We start from the raw sequence: 20,699 nt of genomic DNA on the forward strand, positions 1-20,699 counted from the left end.
CGTCCCAGAGACAATAGCCTCAAGGTTTGTGAAGCAGATCCATCAAAGAACACACACTGGAAACTAGAGACTTTGATAGGTCAACACTTCTATGTGCCACGGCTCTCTGCCATCACCCATGCTGTTTGCGAATAATGTCTATCCTGTGTCTGGAATAAGCCAAAACAAGGACCTATTCGACCCCCAGGAATTCAGGAAATGGGAGCTGTGCCTTGTGAGAACCTGCTTGTAGACTTTACCGAGTTGCCTTGAGCAGGAGGTTACCGGTATATGCTAGTGTTTCTTTGCACCTTCTCAGGGTGGGTTGAGGCCTTCCCCACCAGGACTGAAAAGGCACGAGAGGTGACAAAGGTGCTACTAAAAGACATCATACCAAGGTTTGGATTGCCTTTAACCCTAGGATCAGACAATGGTCCTGCATTTGTGGCAGAAGTAGTACTACAGCTGACTCAGCTTTTAAAGATCAAATGGAAACTGCACACAGCCTACTGACCACAGAGTTCAGGGAAGGCGGAATGGATGAACCAGACACTCAAACAGCTACTAAAAATGTTTTGCCAGGAAACTCACTTACGATGGGATCAGGTCTTGCCCATGGTCCTCCTCCAGGTCAGGTGTACACTTACAGAACAAATTGGGTATTCACCCTATGAAATATTATTTGGAAGGCCACCCCCAATCATTAATCAAATTAGAGGGTAGTTAAAGGAGTTAGGAGAGCTAACCCTTAGAAGACAGATGCAGGCTTTAGGAGTGGCAATGCAGGAGGTGCAAGGCTGGGTAAGTGAAAGGATACCTTTAAGTCTAACAGACCCAGTGCATCCACATAAACCGGGGATTCTGTCTGGGTTAAAATGTGGAATCCAGGCTGGGCCTGGTGGCTCACACCTGTAATCCCAGCACTCTGGGAGGCCGGCGGCGGGGAGATCACGAGATCAGGAGAATGAGACCATCCTGGCTAACACGGTGAAACCCCGTCTCTACTAAAAATACGAAAACAAAAAATTAGCCAGGCATGGTGGTGGGTACCTGTAGTCCCAGCTACTTGGGAGGCTGAGGCAGGAGAATGGCATGAACCCGGGAGGCACAGCTTGCAGTGAGCCGAGATTGCGCCACTGCACTCCAGCCTGGGCAACAGAGCGAGACTCCATCTCAAAAAAAAAAAAAAAAAAGGTGGAATCCAACAACCCTGGGGCCCTTATAGGATGGGCTCCATATTGTGATCATGTCTACTCCCACTGCTGTTAAAGTTGCAGGTGTCACACCTTGGATTCACCATAGCTGGCTAAAACCAGCGGCAGCAGTGACTCCCCATGACGACCAGTGGACTAGCCAACAAGACCCAGATTGCCCCACCAGAACAGTCCTATGGCAAAACCCAACTACCGGTAAGAAGGACAACTGCCCTGCTCTGACCACACCGGAGGCTGGTCAGTCTACGCACAGGTGAAGCTTGAGAATCCTGCAAGCTCTGCTCTAGTCACAGCCCGGAAGCTGACTAGTCTATGCACAGCCGAAGCTAAAAGGACCATCTCCGGATAAGCAAATGTGGATACAATTTATAAGCCTAGCTATAATTCTGTCAATACTGGTTATTATGTTATGTTATTACTGCAAATGCTGCAAATGTCTATGCCCAGAGGAAGGTTTGCCATGCCCATGTGTAGTGTAAGCATGTTTCTATTATATACACTAATGTTCTTACCATTTCTGCCTATACTAAAAAAGGAGAAATCTCTAGAAAGATGCCCATACTGTGTACACACTACCTGGGTAAGAAACACCATAGTTAAAACTCTACTGTACCATACCTACTATGAATGTACAGGAACCAAGTTAGGAATCTGCACATACAACCAGACCACCTATTCATTCTGTGACCCAGGAAATAATCAGCTACATGTAGGTTATGACCCTAAACTCTTACCTTATGAATTCTGGTTTGAGGTACATATTAAATCAGAGGGAGAAAAAGAAGGAGAGCTTATAGCTCGAACCAAAGAAGCCCCTCCCTCCTATAAAAGGCGTAGTTCCTTGTACTTTGATGCCTGCCATGCCGCATATGTTCATAATCTTAAAAAAAACAGAAGCAGCCTGCAATGGTTTAACACAAGAGAGGCTGAGCAGGAACAGCCCTAAACATCTGTATGGAGAACCACAAATCGGATGCCCGGACCGTAACATTCAGTGGTCTATGCTAACACAGCTCCAACACTTATATTCAGGATGGACTGCTCTGCTAAGTAGTATGTCAGTCAAACTAAATTGTAAGACAAGGACATGCAATTCTTTAAATTTTACTATCTTAAAGCCAGAGCTACCTTTTTGGTCTACAGGGCAGGCAGCACTATTATGAGTTGATAGACAAGAAGCAGGCCTTGGAGTTCCACTACTGATTGTCAAAAAGACTAGAAGGACTCAAATGTGTCCAATCCCCCAATTCTGGGTCCATAAGTCATTCTATAAGCATTTTGATCAGCCAGTGCCTGAGCTTCCCCCATCACCCAAAAACATATTTGCTCAACTAGCTGAAAACATAACTGGCAGCTTAGGAATTTCCTCATGCTATGTATGTGGAGGAACTAATATGGGTGACCAGTGGCCATGGGAGGCAAAGGAATTAATGCCACAAGGTAACTTCACTTTGCCTAACCCTGCCAGTGAACCAACAGCCTCAGCCAGTGTTTGGTTGTTAAAAACCTCCGTAATTAAAAAGTACTGTATCACCCGATGGGGAAAGGCTTTCACAGAGGCAGCAGGAGAAACAACCTGCCTAGGGCAACAGCATTATGATGAGACTAAAAACAAAACTCTACGGAGAAATGCCCAGAATGACTCCTACTTACCAGGTCCAAACCCTTTCTCTTGATTCTCTACTCTAAGCCACACTTGGAATCAGCTAGAGGCTCCAAATGCTTGGAAGGCATCCTCTGGCCTATAATGGATCTGTGGAGCATGGGTACATCAGCAACTGCCGGCTAAATGGACAGGGGCATGTGTGTTAGGAACAATCAAGCCATCCTTCTTTCTAATTCCTCTAAAGCAAGAGGAACTCTTAGGATATCCAGTTTATGATGAAAATAAAAGAAGAACTAGAAGAAGCATAATCACAAAAATAGACACAAATGTCAAAAAGATGTGGACATAGGAGACTGAAAAGATAATGAATGGTCTCCTGAAAGAATCATTAAATATTATAAGCCAGCTATCTGGGTGCAAGACGGTTCATGGGGATATTGCACCCCAATCTATATGCTCAACTGCATCATAAGGTTGTAGGTAGTCCTTGAAATTATAACCAATGAAACACCAAGGGCACTAGGTTTATTGGCAATACAAGCAACACAAATAAGAAATGCTATACATCAAAATAGATGAGCTTTGGATTACCTCTTAGCCTCAGAAGGAGGAGTATGTAGAAAATTTAATTTAACCAACTGTTGCCTAGAAATCGATGATAATGGCCAAGCTATTATGGAAATCACTGCTAGAATGGGCGAGTTGGCCCATGTTCTAGTTCAGACTTGATCCGGGTGGTCCCTGGATTCCTTGTTTGGAGGATGGTTCTCAGCCTTTGGAGGATTCAAAACCCTCATTGGTAGGTTCTTGCTTATTCTTGGCAACTGCCTCATCCTCCCTTGCCTTTTACCCCTGCTTACTAGGAGTATTCAGTCAACTACAGAGGCAATAGTAACCCGACACACTACCGCACAGTTGATGGCATTAACCAAATATCAGCCACTGCCAGTAGAAGCAGCTCAGCTCCGCGAAGAGGTGGCAAGTAGTGGTGCTTTCTATTAACACCTTTGTTATAAAAAGCACCAAAGGGGGGAATGGAAATAGGAATTAAAAGAAATTAAAGAATATGTAAGCAGAAACTCAGTCGTATGTAAGAAAACCCAATTCCCCTGAGAAAGAGAAAGAGTTGGAGTCCTTTAAAAATTAACTGCCTGTTTTTCTGTGGCTAGTGAGCCTTATCTCTCCTCCTTTCCCAGGCATTGTGAAGACCCTGTTTCCCTAGCTGTGCAGCTGCAAGTTCACTAGACAGATAAACTCAAGTCATAAAACATGTTTTTCCTTGAAAACTAAGAAATGATGTAATGCATGTCTCAATTAATTGAATAACTGTCTCTGTTTCTCACTTCTGCAATATGCTTCCCCCTGCCCCACGAAATGCTTAAAAAGTAACTTAACTCTTTGTTCAGGGCTCAGTTCTTTGGATCTTAATCTTACTGGGCCGGTGCACCTAAATAATAAATATCCTCCTGAACCCCATCAGTCTCTCTGATTCCTTATCAATCCCACTACACTATGAGAACCTACATCTCAATGGTCAGGCATTGATCAGACATTGTGGCAATCCCCACATTTCTTGCCACAGGGCCCTGTCAACACAGCAGCCAACAAAGGTTTACTGAGTGAAGTACATATAGGTACAAAAAGACTTATAGAACCATTATTTTCACAATAAAACATCTTACCCCTGTTGCCCACTGCCAGAGAATAGCCATCATCTCTCTCCTTTCAAGGACCCTTGTAAATAAACACATACAAACTGACAGAAGCAGGAAATGTGAGGCAGCATGTTTAATCATCTCCATCTATTCGAAAACCCCATGAGATAGTTATCATTGTTATTCCCATTTTACAGATGACAAAACTAACACAAACGGAGAGTGATCAAGTGAGATTAGCCAGCTAGCAACAGGAAGCAAAGCAAAATTTCAGATTCCAGCAGTTTAGCTCCAGGAAGAGCCAGCCTGACGAGGAGACATCTTAGTTAAAATCAGAAAGAGGCTGTTAGATCGTCATCCCTTCCCATCTCTTTGAACGTGAATTGGTCAAATATTTTCCAGCTGTTTTCTTACCCATCCTCTGGGAACATGAGGTATGATGCGTGCACTCATCCATTAGGATCAGTCGTTGGGGTGACTGGAACCCACAGTACATGTAGGGGCCCACAAACTAGTTTAATTTCTTATATAAAATAAGGTTGATGAAAAGGGTCATTGTGCAAGCAAAAATAGAATGAGTCACTCAAACGATGGAGGATAGGTTCTATGGTTAAAACCTACTCTCTATATTCAGGACATTAACAAGTCCTGAAGTATCTACAAAACACTTCTTAAAGGAAGAATCTTAGAGCACTCAATCTGTCCTGGCTGTGATTATTTGACAATAAATAAAATGTATTTATTCCTAAACAAGAGCTCAGAAAGATATCTGTAGAAAAGGGCAGGAGTAGAGGAAAAGAGGGCTATGCAGCAGCAGGAAAGAAGGGAAATCACTGCAGGTCCACAGCACCAGCTCAGCACAGAAGGTAAGTGCGCATTTGTAATGGGTCTGTAGCCAGAGACATAGCAGAAGCTGCGCTATCCACAGTCACAACCAAAGGCAAAGGAAGGATGCCCTGCAATTTTAGAAATCTTGGCTGCAGCTGGGAACGGTGGCTCACGCCTGTAATCCCGGCACTTTGGGAGGCCGAGGTGGGTGGATCACTTGGGGCCAGCAGTTCCAGACCAGCCCAGCAAACATGGTGAAACCCTGTCTCTACTAAAAATACAATAATTACCCAGGTGTGCTGGTGCGCACCTGTAGTTCCAGGTACTCGGGAGGCTGAGGCACTCCTGAGTACCTGCACAATACATGCAAACACCCACCCCATCCTACTCCCCGGCCCCCCCGCCCTACTCCCCCCCTCCACCCTACGCCCCCCCGCCCTACTCCCTCCCCCGCCCTACTCCCCCCACCCCGTCCTACTGCCCCCACTCCAACACGTGCTCTCCCGTGCCCAAGGCAAGGCCAAGCCCCTGAGGCATGCGCACCTCAGCAGGCCCAACCCACAGCAAATAGTGGGAAGAGGAAAGGCAAGAGAGGAGGTCTCTAAGTGGATACACTGTTACTGAATCTAGGTACCCAGAAGATGGAGGTTGTAGTGAGCCCAGATAGTGCCACTGCATTCCAGAGACAGAGCGAGACTGTCTCAAAAAAAAAAAAAAAAAAAAAAAAAGAAAGAAAGAAAGAAAAGAAAAGCAATCTCGGATGCTCTAAGCATCATTGTGCATGTTTCCACCCTTGCACTTTGATGTGGATTCATTACTAAGAATTAATAGTGGACTTTCTCAAGGAGTGTGCTGCATTTTTACATAGTGCATTTGCGCAGCCCACAAGCTTTGCAAATCCAGGCCCAAGCTCCTGCTCCTGGAGACCTAGGAAGCATGGGGCTAGTGCAAAATCTCCCTTATCGCCATAAAATGGGCTTGCACAATTCAGCACAGCAGCTTCCCCCAAGTTCCACACTCACGCATGCCTGTCTACAGGACAACGCATGCAAGCACGCACCCCATCCTACTCCCCCTCCCACGCCCTACTCCCCCCTCCCCCACACCCTACTACACCACTTACCCCTCCCCCCCCACACCACCAACGCGTGCTCTCCCTCATCCGGGCAAGGCCAAGCCCCTGACGCATGCGCACCTCAGCAGGCCCAACCCACAGCAAATAGCGGGAAGCAGAAAAGCAAGAGAGGAGGTCTCTAAGTGGATACACTGTTGCTGAGTCTAGACACCAGAAGAACGTTGCAGGCGGCGACTCACAGTTCTAGCACTGCCTAGGAGAGCGTGGTGGCCCCAGCTCAGAATCTGCAGAAGTGCACAGCTCCATCCACACCACTCAGGGTATGGAGCCTCCGGACCAGTGTAGCCAGTATATGACCAGCTTGCTCAGCCCTGCAGTCGACGACGAGAAAGAACTACAGGGTCAGTACCTTGATGGGACACATGCTTTTGCGAACTCAGGAAACCAAGGTTCTCTGGGAGAGGCGAGTAGACTGGATGATACCCCTGCACTACCACTGCTCTCAGAGTGTAGCCCCTCACCACCTCCTTCCAACACCCTCAGGACCAATGCCTTGATCTTTCTCTTGGGGTTTCTACTTTTCCAGATATGAATGCTATGGTGCTGTCGCTTACTGAAGAGGTCAAAGAGGAGGAAGAGGATGCACAGCCTGAGCCTGAGCAAGGCACAGCAGCAGGAGAAAAGTTAAAGTCGGCAGGAGCCCAAGGCGGAGAAGAAAAAGATGGCGGCGGAGAAGAAAAAGATGGCGGCGGCGCCGGAGTTCCTGGCCACCTATGGGAAGGAGACCTCGAGGGCACCAGCGGCAGCGATGGCAACGTTGAGGACAGCGACCAGAGCGAGAAGGAACCTGGGCAGCAGTATTCGCGCCCACAGGGCGCCGTCGGGGGGCTGGAGCCTGGCAACGCGCAGCAGCCCAACGTCCACGCCTTCACCCCATTGCAGCTGCAGGAGCTGGAGCGCATTTTCCAACGCGAGCAGTTCCCCAGTGAGTTCCTGCGGTAAGCCCATTGCTCTGGTTGGCGCGCGGTTTGCAGGGAGGCGGCGTTTGGCTTTCCCGCAGTCCCTCTCCTACCCTCTCCCCTCCTGAACCAAAACCCATCTGGGGCCTGGTGTTGCTGCCGTCCCCTCCCCGCAGACCCCTGGCACCTAGTGGGTTCTGTAGTGGGGCTATGCCTATTAGGCATCATGCAGAATTTAAATGAACCAAGTTGGGCAACTTTGGGCTGAGGTCAGTTATGATAAATAACTCCTATCCCAGGCGAGGCAGAAATAAAGATGAGGAGATTAAGGTTCTGTACAGCAAGTGCAGGGTCGCATTCTGACCTTATTTAAAATTCTGAGAAGTCCGTCGTTCGTCTGGGTTTCCTTTGGTGTTAATTTTTCTAAGTTTCAAATAGTAAGTTAGAATGTCATTTATATTGATTAACGATTTTTTTTGTTATGGGGGGGTTATTTTTTTATTTTTTGGAGAAGGAGTCTCGCTGGGACACCCAGGCTGGAGTGCAATGGTGCGATCTCGGCTCACTGCAACCTCTGCCTCCCAGGTTCAAGAGATTATCCTACCTCAGCGTCCCAAGTAGCTGGGATTACAGGCGCCAGCCACCACGCCCGGCTAATTATTGAATTTTTAGTAGAGACGGGGTTTCACCATATTGGCCAGGCTGGTCTCGAACTCCTGACCTCAAGTGATCCTCCTGCCTCGGCCTCCCAAAGTGCTGGCATTACAGGCGTGAGCCACCGCCCTGATTTTTTTTTTTTTGGCATCTCCTTTATTTGTGGCATGAGAGAAATGTTCCTAATGTGAGGCTCAGCTGGGTGTTACAGAACAGCCTACTGGGTGTGGGGAGTTGGTAGAATAAAAAAATTAAACACAAGAATGAAACGACACCCACAACTCCAAATGCTGAACACGTGTGGTTTCTTCCATAGAAGGAGGCTGGCAAGAAGCATGAATGTGACTGAACTCGCAGTGCAGGTCAGTAAACCGAAAAAGCAATCGGGCAGGGGAGCCATTCTAAAACCCGCTTCAGGGCTTGGACACACTTTGACCCAGACATTGCCATCTTGGTGTTTTTGTGGCCTTTTTCATGTATAGGCAATGAGGTCTGAACTTTGGGATCTTTGTGGCTGGAAAATGCAGTAAGGAAAGCTCAGCTTGTGGAAATTTCCCATTACCAGAGGGAACATGACAATCCACGGAAAAAAAAATGAGTACTGAACTGTTTCCTTTATTCCTTGTGTATAAAATATATTATACACTTGAATAAATTACAAATATATAAATATATGTATTCCAAATTACAAATATATATAATATATAACAGTATAAATTAAATATAGCATAATATATAAGATTGAATTCCTAGCACTGGTATCCTTTAGGTAGCACTTCCATGTGGAGGCATCCTGGGGTTTTCTGACATGGGGATTATTCGAACTAATGCTCCAAAGAGCTCCATTAAACTAAACTATTTAATATATTTAAAACCAAGCATAAACTCTTTGGTTAAGAATTTATAAATGTTTAGGCATTGGGGTAAAGGAATAATTCCCAACCAGAACGTATGTTTCCTTAAGCTGAGACTGATGGCGGGGGATAGCATAAAGTTCAAGCGCCTGGCCCTCCTACTATTGTTTTTAAGTATTTGGTGAAGCCTTGTAGAGAGTGGCAGCTCTAAATTTTAATTTTCTGGAATACTTTGATATGGCAGGCTGAAAACATTGCTGACATAGTTGGTTTTGCATTATGGTAGAGATAGCGAAAAGGCTTGCAACCTTTGCAAGTTTATCTAGAAACCAAAACAAACTACAAGATCAATTTTTCATAAATTTCCACCAACCTAAGGATGGAAGTGTTAGGCAAGAATTGTATACAGTCACACTCATGGCTTGGGGAAGCTGCCCCCATTCAACTTTTGAAGCTACCAAATGCATCAGTGAATATTTTCTTGATCAATTTCTAGCATTTAAGAGATTTTTTGTTTCTTCCAGTTTGTTGTACTAACAGGAAGAGATGTGTTTTGTGGAATGTGTTGATAGTGGGGGATGGCTGTCAGGTCAGGCTAGACTCTTACCTGTGGTAATTTGAAATACCTTTTTATTTATTTGCTCAGGCTGTGATAATAAATTTGTAGGTCAGTGGATCCAAAGGAGTATTTGCAAAAAAGGAAGAAAAGAAAGAAAAATCGGGATGACCTTAATAGCTTTTCTGCAGAGCTCATGTGTGTGAGTGCAGTGAGGGAACTATGCTGCGGTTCTGTCAATGGTGGCATGCAGAAAAGCTGCCTGACAAAACGGGGCACTGAGTGTTGGCATCCTGTTGCCCTCCATTTTCTCAGGCAGGCAATGCCAATTTGGGGGAGATGAAATATTGACGTTTTGGTGAATTGCCTTTCCCCTCCCTGGGTTTACATAGCATTCACTCAATGCAGTTCTGAAGGCAAAAGGACCACTCTCACTCAGCAAATAAGGAAAAAGGCATGATGTTCTCATCTATTGCCAAACATTTCAGCATGAATATCTCCAAAAATTTTTAATAGATGTTTCCCCCCTCTGTTTTGTAAAGATAGTAAGGGCTGGTTTATGAAACCGATACGGAGACTAGGGACCTAATGTTGTCCCATAGCACATTTGGCCCACTTTTGGCATTGCTTATGTTTATGAACCTTTGACCACAGGTACATTGGAATTGTCTCTAAACAAGCACTATTACGGTAGGCTTAAAATTTAGACTATGTATTCATGAGGGAGAAGGACTCCAAATAGTAAGATGGGAGAAGGAAATGGGGCATCAAACAGGGAGAAGAGTCCCTTTGTCCCATAAAATTTGCAGTTTGGGAACTTCCAGAAGGATCAAAATACAATGGAAATGTCATTAACTAGAAGCTTGGGGGATAGTGTTGTTTAATTGACAGGTTTTATTTTTTGGTCTTTTAACAATTGGCAGGTGTTTGGGGAGTAGTGTTTTTTGATACCTCCTCCACATTACTACTGAACGTGTTCAGAGTTGCCTATTTGGACACTCCCGCTTTGGGAATGCTGATGAGATTGGGATCTTCTGCTCGAGTAGTGAGGCTAGATGGCTGAAGGCGTCCCATGGAACTGGGCAACCAAGTCTCTGTCCCATATCCCAGGACTATAGGGAGAACAAAGTGAGCTGACCTTGTCCTTAGCCCAGGAAGATTTGGAGGGAGGGATGAGTTGGAGCGTGCAGAATTAGCAATGCTTCCTTTCTCTCAAACTCTCAACTGGGCAAAGCTTTTTGAGAATTTTTGTGAATTTGGACAACATTTGTGTCCTCCTTCCACAAAGCTTCAAGCTGAAGTGTGAAGAGTGTCCAGGGCTTCAGATACCCTCATTTCCCAGCAAGACAATCCACAAACTCCCTGGGCCCCCTATAACGAGACTTGCCTTGCAATATACCATCTTTTTAATTCTCAAGGAGTTTCAGAAGATGAATGACCCCTTAGAATTTCTTGAAGGAAAGAAAACTTGTTTTAAAATACAATGTACTCTTACCGATTTTTTACTTTACACTGAAGATGGGCTTTTCAAAACGGGGGCCTCATCTTCTTGGTATGACTTTAAAAGGCACCCCCGCCTTTTTTTCCAAGCTCAGCTTCCCCCACGACCAGGGTGACAGTGGCCTAGTAAGTAGGAGTTGGTGGGCAGCTGGGTAGCTGATGGTCAAGTATCTGCAAGCAGACATGCCACACATAGCAATACCAGCAGGGATCGAGTCCCACTCATCAGCTACACCTGCACCCAAGAGTGGAAAAAGTAATATTACAGATAAAAGGAGAGAGACAAAGAAATAAGCCAAGCCAGAGCGTACGTAGCACATACTTGGAGCTCACTAGGGGAAAGGTGTGGTGGTCACCTTTCTAAGATATTTTAGTAGTAAGGAAGTAGCTTGTCTTGATACACCCGAAAAGGTTAAGGACATAGAGAGTTGCTTGTTGTGTTTTTTTCCATGATGAAATTAAATGCTCAGTATACTAAACCTGTTTCTTTTTTCCTCTGATTGAAGATTTGGTTTGAGAATAGAAGAGCCAAATGGAGGAGACATCAGAGGGCATTAATGGCAAGAAACATGCTGCCCTTCATGGCAGTGGGCCAGCCTGTCATGGTAACCGCAGCTGAGGCCATAACGGCACCCTTGTTCATCAGCGGGATGAGAGATGATTACTTCTGGGACCACAGCCATTCCAGCAGCCTGTGTTTCCCCATGCCACCCTTTCCTCCTCCGTCCTTGCCCCTTCCACTCATGCTTCTTCCACCTATGCCACCCGCTGGCCAGGCTGAATTTGGCCCATTCCCTTTTGTTATCGTGCCTTCTTTCACATTCCCCAATGTCTAAGGGATAGCCTCTGTGCCACTTTTTGCCAGAGTGTCTTTGAGCCAGATTCATATTTTGCATAGCACCCCATCAAAAGTAGTTCATCAAATGTCTATTAAACGTTTTAAAGAAAAGTACATCATTGACCCATTTTTAGGGCACTTGTAAAAATGTTTCTATAAATATGTGAAGGGTATGTACATTTGTTTTGTGTGTCACATGGGGTCAGTAAGTTCTCAATAAAAATTGTTAAGAAATGCCATTCAAACCGAATGTCACGGACTCTCGTCTCATGCAGTAATCTTGAGTCACCATCTGGGGGCTGTGCATGTCACAGAATTTTCCCATGTGCCCATGGCAGGCTTACACCGACCCAGACATTCTCTTCCACCCCCACCCCCAACACCCCATACTCATCTCCTCTCTGCCCCCATTGATACCAGGTACATGTGCAGGATGGGGTGGTGTGAGTCCCTAATGAGAGAATAGTGTGTTTCAAGTTACTGCCAGGGTGGAAAACAGCAAAACCAAAATGGTATCGGGAAGGAAGCCATGCCCACTCTTAAAAATTCATTAAGTTTTTTCTTGCTATGGAAGACTTCTTTAAAGTAATTTTCTTGTAAAAGTGTAAGTGTAAATAATGCCATGAAATTATACACTTATTTAATGGCTAAAATGGCAAATTTTTATATGGTTTACCACAACAAAAGAAAAGAAAAAATATACCAAAAAGTTTTTAAAAAGTGATCATGAACATTGTGGTCATCCTGTGAAGTGATTGCAATGCCTGCAGATAAGGAGTGATGGTTACAACAGTATTTTCTCTGAAAATTATTTGATGGCCAGTTTCATAATGATTATGTTTTCAGCCTGAAGGAAAATTCCATTTTCTTGGGTGAGCATGAACTTTCTGTCAGGCTGTCTGCTGCTTTTCATTCCCCACTTCTCTCTTCACAATTGTGGGTGTCAAGCTTCAGCCACGCAATTGCATTTGGTGTGAGGGTTTTGCAAGGAGAAGGAGGTTTATTCATACCCCTGAAGCCACAAGCCTTGGTGGGAATAAGGAAAGTCCATGAATTCACTATGCATTAATGCATGCCTCTTGGCCAAGTGGATTCTTTTTTCTTCTCCGATTGAGATTTTCCTTTTTTTTTTTTTTTTTTTTTTTTGCTCTTGTTCTCATTGTATTGTGCTTTGTATAATTATTTACAGTAAGTCGCGCATGTCAGTGTACATTCCGTCTGGAAATTGTTTCCATTTGGTACATTTTGTGCCAGTCGGTCTATTCCTGCTCATTATTTTGTTTTTTCTACATTCAGACTGAAACATTTGGTAGCCTAGAGATACTCAGAAATAGGCAAAGAAAGGTAAAAGGGGAGGAGGGGAGATTGAAATCATACTTCCATTATCCCTCCCCGTGGTTATCAGATTCATAAAATTTTTACACCATCAAAAGACATTTTTAGCCATATATGTTTCCTTTATGTAGAAAATGAGATCTCCTATACTCAGTTGGCATTTGTTTTCATGTATCTGATAAGTACCTGTTAGAATTATAGGTCAAGATGTTGTCTAGCTCTGGTAACCTAGATCCTGAACTTCAAAGCAGAGTTCTTGGACCTTAAGAAATTCAAATTCGTAGAATTATAGTTAGGATGTCATTTACTGACCTTGAACAACACATTGTTTAGGTAGCATACAATGGGACTAGTTCAAGGGGCTGGGTGGAGAACAAGTTACAATTTTTTCTGATGGAGAACATTACTGGAGACAGTACCCTTTAAAACTTTCATTCCCTTTTTATTAGCAGCTAACGTCTTGTATGCCTTTACTATGTGACAAGCAATAAAATAATGTCCTTGGATGATTTTGTTTGATGCTCAAATGAATCCTAATAGTGAGGTTCTAGCATCTTCATTGAAAGAAGAGGAAACTTATCCATGGTGCAAAGCTAATCAGAGGAACAGGATCTGAAGCCAAATTTGTCTGCCTCCAGAGCCCATGCTTTGTCAAGTTTAATTCAGCGGTGGTGCACTGGGATGCCACAGTTAGGGCAATCTGGCTTCCAATCCCAGATGCACCACTTCCCAGCTGTTTCCCCCTGGGCATTTTACTTAAGCTCTGTAGTATCATTATTATTCTCTATAAGATGATAATATTATATCACAGAATTGATGAGAGGGATAAATAACATATGTAAGTGGCCTTCCACAATGCCCAGCCAGAGTAAGCACACAGAAATGTTTTCTACTATTATTCTATATTATCTCCTATCATCATATTATTATAACCTGTTGTTCCACCTTTCCTATGTGGTATAACAGAAAGAGATCTGATTAAAAATAAGGTGGTCTGGGTTCTTGCTGCAGCTCTACGCTGTCTTTGTTACCTTGAATGAGTCGCTTAACCTACTATATCTCTGCTGTCTCATGTGTTAGGCCATTCTTGTTTTGCTATAAGGAAATGCCTGAGGCTGAGTAATTTATAAAGAAAAGAGGTTTAGTTGGCTCACAGTTCTGCAGGCTTAACAGGAAGTGTGATGCTGGCATCTGCTTCTGGTGAGGACCTCAGGAAGCTTACAGTCATGGTGGAAGACAGACTGGGAGCAGGCATCTCACATGGTGAGAGCAGGAGCGAGAGAGTGGGTGTGGGAGGTGCCACACACTTTTAAACAACCAGATCTTGTGATAACTCGCTCACTATTGCAAGGACAGCATCAAGCCATGAGGTTTCCACCCCCATGACCCAAACACGTCCCAACAGGCCTCACCTCCAACATTGGGGAAAATAAGGATTACATTTCAACATGAGATTTGGGCAGAGACAAATATCCCAACCATATCATCTCACCTATGGAATCATGACAGTAATAGCATGACTCATGTATTTGGAGTAGGTTTAGTGGTAAAAGTTTATCAGGCATATTTCAAAAAATCAGAAAAAATAGGAATGAATGCCTTATGAAAAAAATCATTTCACGCATTGTTTTCTAGAGTGTGGGGAGTACCATTCATGTTTATATGCATGCTCGACCCCATTTTCCCAGATCAACAATTACTGTTTGTCCTTTCTTGACAGAGAAAAGGAATCAAATGAAGTGAATAATATGGAGAGGAATTTTTTAAAGTGAGCAGAGTGGATATTTGTAAAGGCTTTTCCATGTTTTCGCTATGGTAGTGATAACTGTGGCTGTCTGTATAAAAAGGGTGTATCATTTAAACATGCCCTGAAATGGTTAATGATGAAATTATGTGATGTCTCGATGTGCTTCCAAATAATCCCAGGTTGGGTGCAGGGATGTTGGAGAAATCAGCAAGGCTACTGATGAAACAAGACTGGATATTAATAATTGTTGAATGTGGGTGGTGGCTATATGAGTGTTCATCTTATGTTTGTTTTATATATTTTGGACATTTCCTATAATTTTTAAAAAAATAGTAAGGGTCGAAAACCTAGCTGCTAACAGGGCCGGGAAGGTAACATAAATGAAGAAAACAAGCAGAGTGGGGACTGGTAAACTGGGAAAGGCTATGTCTCCCCCAAAGGGAATGGCCACTACTCTGCTTCAGCCTAATTTTTCTGGTCAGGACTTTGGGGTCCAGATCTGGCAGATTTTCCAGTTTGTAAAGATTGGCCAGAAATAAGTGTTTACATGAAACCTTCTGATCCTTAGATCTGAGCAATCAATTCAAATATGTTTTATTTAAAATTACACTGGTCATCCGAAACAGATCTGCAGACCAGATATAGGATGCAGCTTCCAATTTGCAACCTGTACTTGAGAAGGTAACTTTAAGCAAATTCAAAACCGTGGAGCAATAGAATATGATTGAAAGCAACTCTAAAGCCAGCAATCCTAGGATGCCATCATTCCACCTTATTTTTTTTCTCATTATAAGTCCTGTTCTCATGTGATAAAAGAAAAACTTCAGCCAAATTAAAGTTAAAGGAGTTTAATTGAGCAATGGACGATTTGCAAATCGGGCAGCCCCCAGAATGACAGCAGATTCACAGAGACTCCAGTGCAGCCATGTGGTGGGAGAGTTATAGACAAAAAAGGGAAACTACATACAGAAATCAGAAGTGAGATAGAGAATGGCTGGATTGGTTACAGCTCGACGTTTGCCTTATTTGACATTTTCATTTTACCAATAATTTTTAAAACTCTCTTTATTTCCCAAAAATTACTTAAGACACATGAACTAAAAGGCATTACACTTTTTACTTTTCTGACAAAATATGTTATTTAAGCTTTTATTATTTTTAAACCAATTAGTGAAAGCTCTTTTATATATAAACATCAAACACATAATACATATAAATCCATAGACAGAAGTTAAAGGACTCATTTTCCAAGCCAGGAATTGAACGCTGAACCCAGGCTGCCATTGTGAAGAGAAAGCATGGCCACATGGTTACAAGGTCAAGCTCCCAAGGACATACAAGACAAGAGGGAAACCTTATCCAGTTTTTTTTTTGTTTTGTTTTTTGTTTTTTCCAGGGACCTGCAGCAAAGCTTATAAGTGATCAGTTTGCTTGGCTGTCTTGAACAGCGGGCTTACAGGTGTCCTAAGCCTGTATTCTATCCTAAGGTACCCCTCATTAATGACAGAAAATATGGAAAGACACACAAAGCATACCAAATTTGGTACAGCTTAAGACTAGCCTTACAAGTGCTTTTTCTGATTAATTTAAACTTTACAGGAGAGTAACAGTGATTTTTACCATTTATTCAACCTGTTTGCACAGAGAGAGAGAGAGAGAGGCCAGGAGTCTGACTGGTAAGAAATTGTTACCTGTTTGCCAGCATGCCAGGCTTCTGTGTTCCGTTGCCCTAAGTGGCCCTAGTGACCCACCTCGCTGCACCATAGACCTGGGGGGCCAAGCCACAACACAAAGGAAAATTATCTTTTTCTGTTTGGGCCAGAGTAAAATATGTGTGACGAAACATAGACATCAGCTACTCTGCTTAGCACCCAATATTAAACTGGCAAGGCTTAAATTTGTCCTTAGATGGCTCCCGTCATCTTTAATCCAACTTCTGACTAGGAATTTCAACACGTCCCTGGGCAAGATGGTCACCCTGAGTAATAGAAAAGATAAGAAAGGGAAAGGAGAGAGAGAAAAGCATTGCCTGTGGCAGGGTGGGGAAGGTGAAGAGCTCACAGAGGCCAGAGAAGGACCCACTCATTCATTGCAGTGACACTGAAAATGAAAAGTTCAGGGGACCACTTGCCAGTAGTGAAGGGATCTTTTCCAGCAGTTCCATCAGCTGTCAGGATTCCCCTTCTGGGGAGGAAAAAGCTCCCCATCTCCCACGGTCCTGCACATGCCTAATCCTGTCACCCATAGCCGTCAGCAAAAAGTGTAAGACCGATTAATCCAAAGAGAATAGCACTTAACATTCCATAGTGCCAAACCCGTCCTTAGCCAAAAGGGATTTTACCAAGAGCCCTCATTTTTAAATGTATTTCAATGTGTTGTTGTTCATTTGGAACGTTCCACTGTAAGTACAAGCGATTCTACTGCCTCAGCCTCCCGAGTAGCTGGGACTACAGGTGCATGCCACCACGCCCAGCTAATTTTTTGTATTTTTAGTAGAGATGGGGTTTCACTGTGTTTAGCCAGGATGGTCTCGGTCTCCTGACCTTGTGATTCACCTGCCTCGACCTCCCAAAGTACTGGGATTACAGGCTTGAGCCACCGCACCTGGCCTCTTGTTCTCTTATTTTCTCCCGAACATACAGAATCGCTCTCTCTGTTCTGAGCCAACTAAAGCTGGGGGTGGAGTGACATAGGTATTAACACCCCTGTGGTCACCACCACTATGACTGTGCTGGGTCAGACCTGAAGCCAGCACAGGACTGGGTCTCACCCAAGGCCTGCTGTAACCACTCCCTGGCTACTGTCTCTCTGTTTGCTTAAGACCCTGGGCTCTACAATGAGCAGGTGGCAAAGCCAGCCAGGCCTGTGTCCTTCCCTCCAGGTCAGTGAGTTCCCCCAGGCCCCAGGTGGGTCTAGAAGTATCATCCAGGAGTCAGGGACTAGAGTCAAAAACCTTCGAAGTCTACCTGGTGTTCTATTGTATTGCAGCTGAGCTGGCACTGAAACCATAAGACCTAGTCCTTCCTGCTTTTCCCTCCCCTTTCCAAAGGCAAAGGAGCCTCACTCCACAGCCACTGACACCCCTGGCCACAAGGAGCACTGACAGACTACCATCAATGTTCCGTTAAGGCCCAAGGTCTCTTAAGTTAGCTTGTGGTGAATGCTGCCTGGTCTGGGACTCATCCTTCAGGGCAGTGGGCTCCCCTCTGGCCTGGGGCAGGTCCAGAAATGCTGTCAAGTCCTGGAATCTGGAACCTCAAGAACCTGCTTGGTGCTCTAGGCCCCGTGGTGGTGTTGGTACCTGAAGCCAGCAAGTCTCAGAGGCTCATGATGGCCCTCAATGTAGTGCCTGTGCATTGCTGTTGGTTATTCAGGGCCCAAGGGCTCTTCAGTTAGCGGGTGATGAATGCTGGCAGGATGGGGTCCTTTCCTTCAAGGCAGTGGGTTCCCTTCTGGCCCACAGTTTGTCTAGAAATGTCATTTGGGAACTAGGGCTGGAACAGGGGCCTGTTGACTCTGACTGGAGCCCTATCTTGCTGTGGCTGAGTTGGTATCCAAGATGCAAGACAAAGTCCTCCCAACTCTTCCCTCTCCTCTCCTCAAGCAGAAGGAAGGGCTCTCTTTTAGAGCCACAAGCTGTGCATCCTGGGGTTAGGGGAAAAGTGATGCCAGCATTCCCTTGGCTGTCCTAGCTAGTGTCTCAGCATGTTGTGTTCCCCGCCCCGCCACCCCCAATCCACTGTGTCTGGGCCTAGTTCATCCCTAGGACTTACCTAAAAGTTGCAGTCCTTATGGCCTAGGCTGCCTTTCAAGTTTACTTAGAGACTGACAGCACTTTGGCCCTTCATGGTGAGGTTTGCAGGTACTCAAGTTCAGACTGCTGGGATCAGTGATTCCCCTCTGGCTAGGGCTGGTTTAAATGCTCCCTCTGTGAGTGGGCATCAACTGAGTTTGATCTGGTTTTCCTTTCTGCTGTAACAGGACATTGCTGAGTGCAATGCTTCACAATTGAATTGTGAAGCAAAAGAACTGTGTTCTCTCTTCCCCAGTGCCCAGAAACACTCTCCACACCATGCCATGGCTGCCAGGGTGGGGAAGGGGTAGCATTGGTGATTCAGGATTGTTTTCTATATCTCTTCAGTGCCTCTTTCAGTGATACGAAATTAAAACCAGGTACTGTAAGTGCTCACCTGATTTTTGGTTTTTAAGAAGGTGTTTTTTTCTGTGTAGGTAGTTGTTAACTTGGTGTCCTTGCACAGAGTGGCAGGAGGACGATCAGCGGAGCTTTCTATTCTGCCATCTTCGTCTGCCTCCTTTCCTAGCCTCATTTCCCCCTGCTTCCTCCTCTGCCCCCTGGGTCCTGAGCACATGGGTCTTGAGAACACACCAAGCTCCTTCCCACCTTGGGGCCTTTGCACTGGCTGTTCTCTCTGCCTGGAATGCTCTTCCTACAGGTTTTTGCATGGCTGCCTCCTTTACTGCATTCATGATTCTGCTCAAATGCCCTCTCTAAGCACCTGAGCTAAAATCCCTAACCCCGCAGTCTCTCTACTTTTTTGTTTGGTTATTGGCTCTCTTGTTTAATCTCTGTCTTCCTACCAGAGGGCAGGATTCAGAATTTAAACAGTGCCCTAGCACATAATGAGAGCTCAGTTATCTTCTGTTAAAGATAAAAATGAAGCCACACTTTAGGTGTACCCGAAGGCCAACCACTCATAACCAGGTAACCAAAATTTAATTCTTCCCAATTTCCCCAAAACACTGTCTCTAATCATAAATATCAAACATAACCTTTACATCTTTGTCAGCGTGATTCAGTGAAATTAAACCAATCAGCTATAGGCAAATCAGTTTAAACAGCTCTGTTTACCTTAAAAAGAATGATAACGTAAAACAGCCAACCACAAAAAAAAATCAAAATATTCTCCTTTATGCTTTATAAAGTGTGCTATGACTGCCATAAGGTGAGCTTTCTACCACTTTGTTTGAAGTCTCCTGGGTCATGAGCTGTACTTTCTCTTACTGTATAACAATAAACTTTAAAATGTTTCCTAACTTGATCTGATTCTCATTTTGACACTTCCAATAATCTTGAGAAATGCTCCTGAGCACTTTGGGTCTGGTATTCTTAGAGAGGGCAAACATTCTCATTTTTCAAAGGGGAAGTTGAGGCCCAGAGAGAGACAGTGACTGCCTGAAGTCATAAAGTTCCAGCACTCTCTTTCCTTACTCCCTTGTTCTCCTGGTCTTGGGGACATCAGACATCTTTAAACATTTGGTCTCACCATAGAAACTTTGAGATCCAGTGCATTAGGGTTCCCTAGAGGGACAGAACAAATAGGATATAGATATAGATATATAGATATATATGTAGGAGATATAGATATATATATGCATATGTAGGATATATATATGTATATGTAGGATATATATATGTATATATATACAGAACTTATATATATATATACAGAATATATATATATATACAGAACTAATAGGATATATATATATCCTCCATATATATATATCCTCCATATATCCTCCATATATATATATCCTCCATATATATATATCCTCCATATATATATATCCTCCATATATATATATCCTCCATATATATATATCCTCCATATATATATATCCTCCATATATATATATCCTCCATATATATATCCTCCATATATATATATATCCTCCATATATATATATATATATCCTCCATATATATATATATATATCCTCCATGTATATATATATGGAGTTAATTAAGCATTAACTTACATGATCACGAGGTCCTACAGTAGGCTGTCTGCAAGCTTGAGGAGCAAAGAGATCCGGTCTGAGTCTCAAAACTGAAGAACTTGGGAGTCCGATGTTCAAGGGCAGGAAGTGTCCAGCA

The 20,699-nt window shown here is 44.0% G+C and overlaps 1 protein-coding gene across 1 annotated transcript; it reads left to right on the forward strand.

Moving 5' to 3' along the window:
- The first annotated feature begins 6,541 nt into the window (after positions 1-6,541).
- RHOXF2 (Rhox homeobox family member 2) lies at positions 6,542-13,559 on the forward strand. The gene is made up of 4 exons (NM_032498.3): positions 6,542-6,758; positions 6,944-7,355; positions 8,287-8,332; positions 11,387-13,559. The coding sequence occupies exons 1-4, from the start codon at positions 6,680-6,682 to the stop codon at positions 11,714-11,716; spliced, it is 867 nt and encodes a 288-aa protein (NP_115887.1). The 5' UTR covers positions 6,542-6,679; the 3' UTR covers positions 11,717-13,559.
- Positions 13,560-20,699: the final 7,140 nt, after the last annotated feature.

Source organism: Homo sapiens, chromosome X (assembly GCF_000001405.40).
Source record: "Homo sapiens chromosome X, GRCh38.p14 Primary Assembly".
NCBI classification, from domain to species: Eukaryota; Metazoa; Chordata; class Mammalia; order Primates; family Hominidae; genus Homo; species Homo sapiens.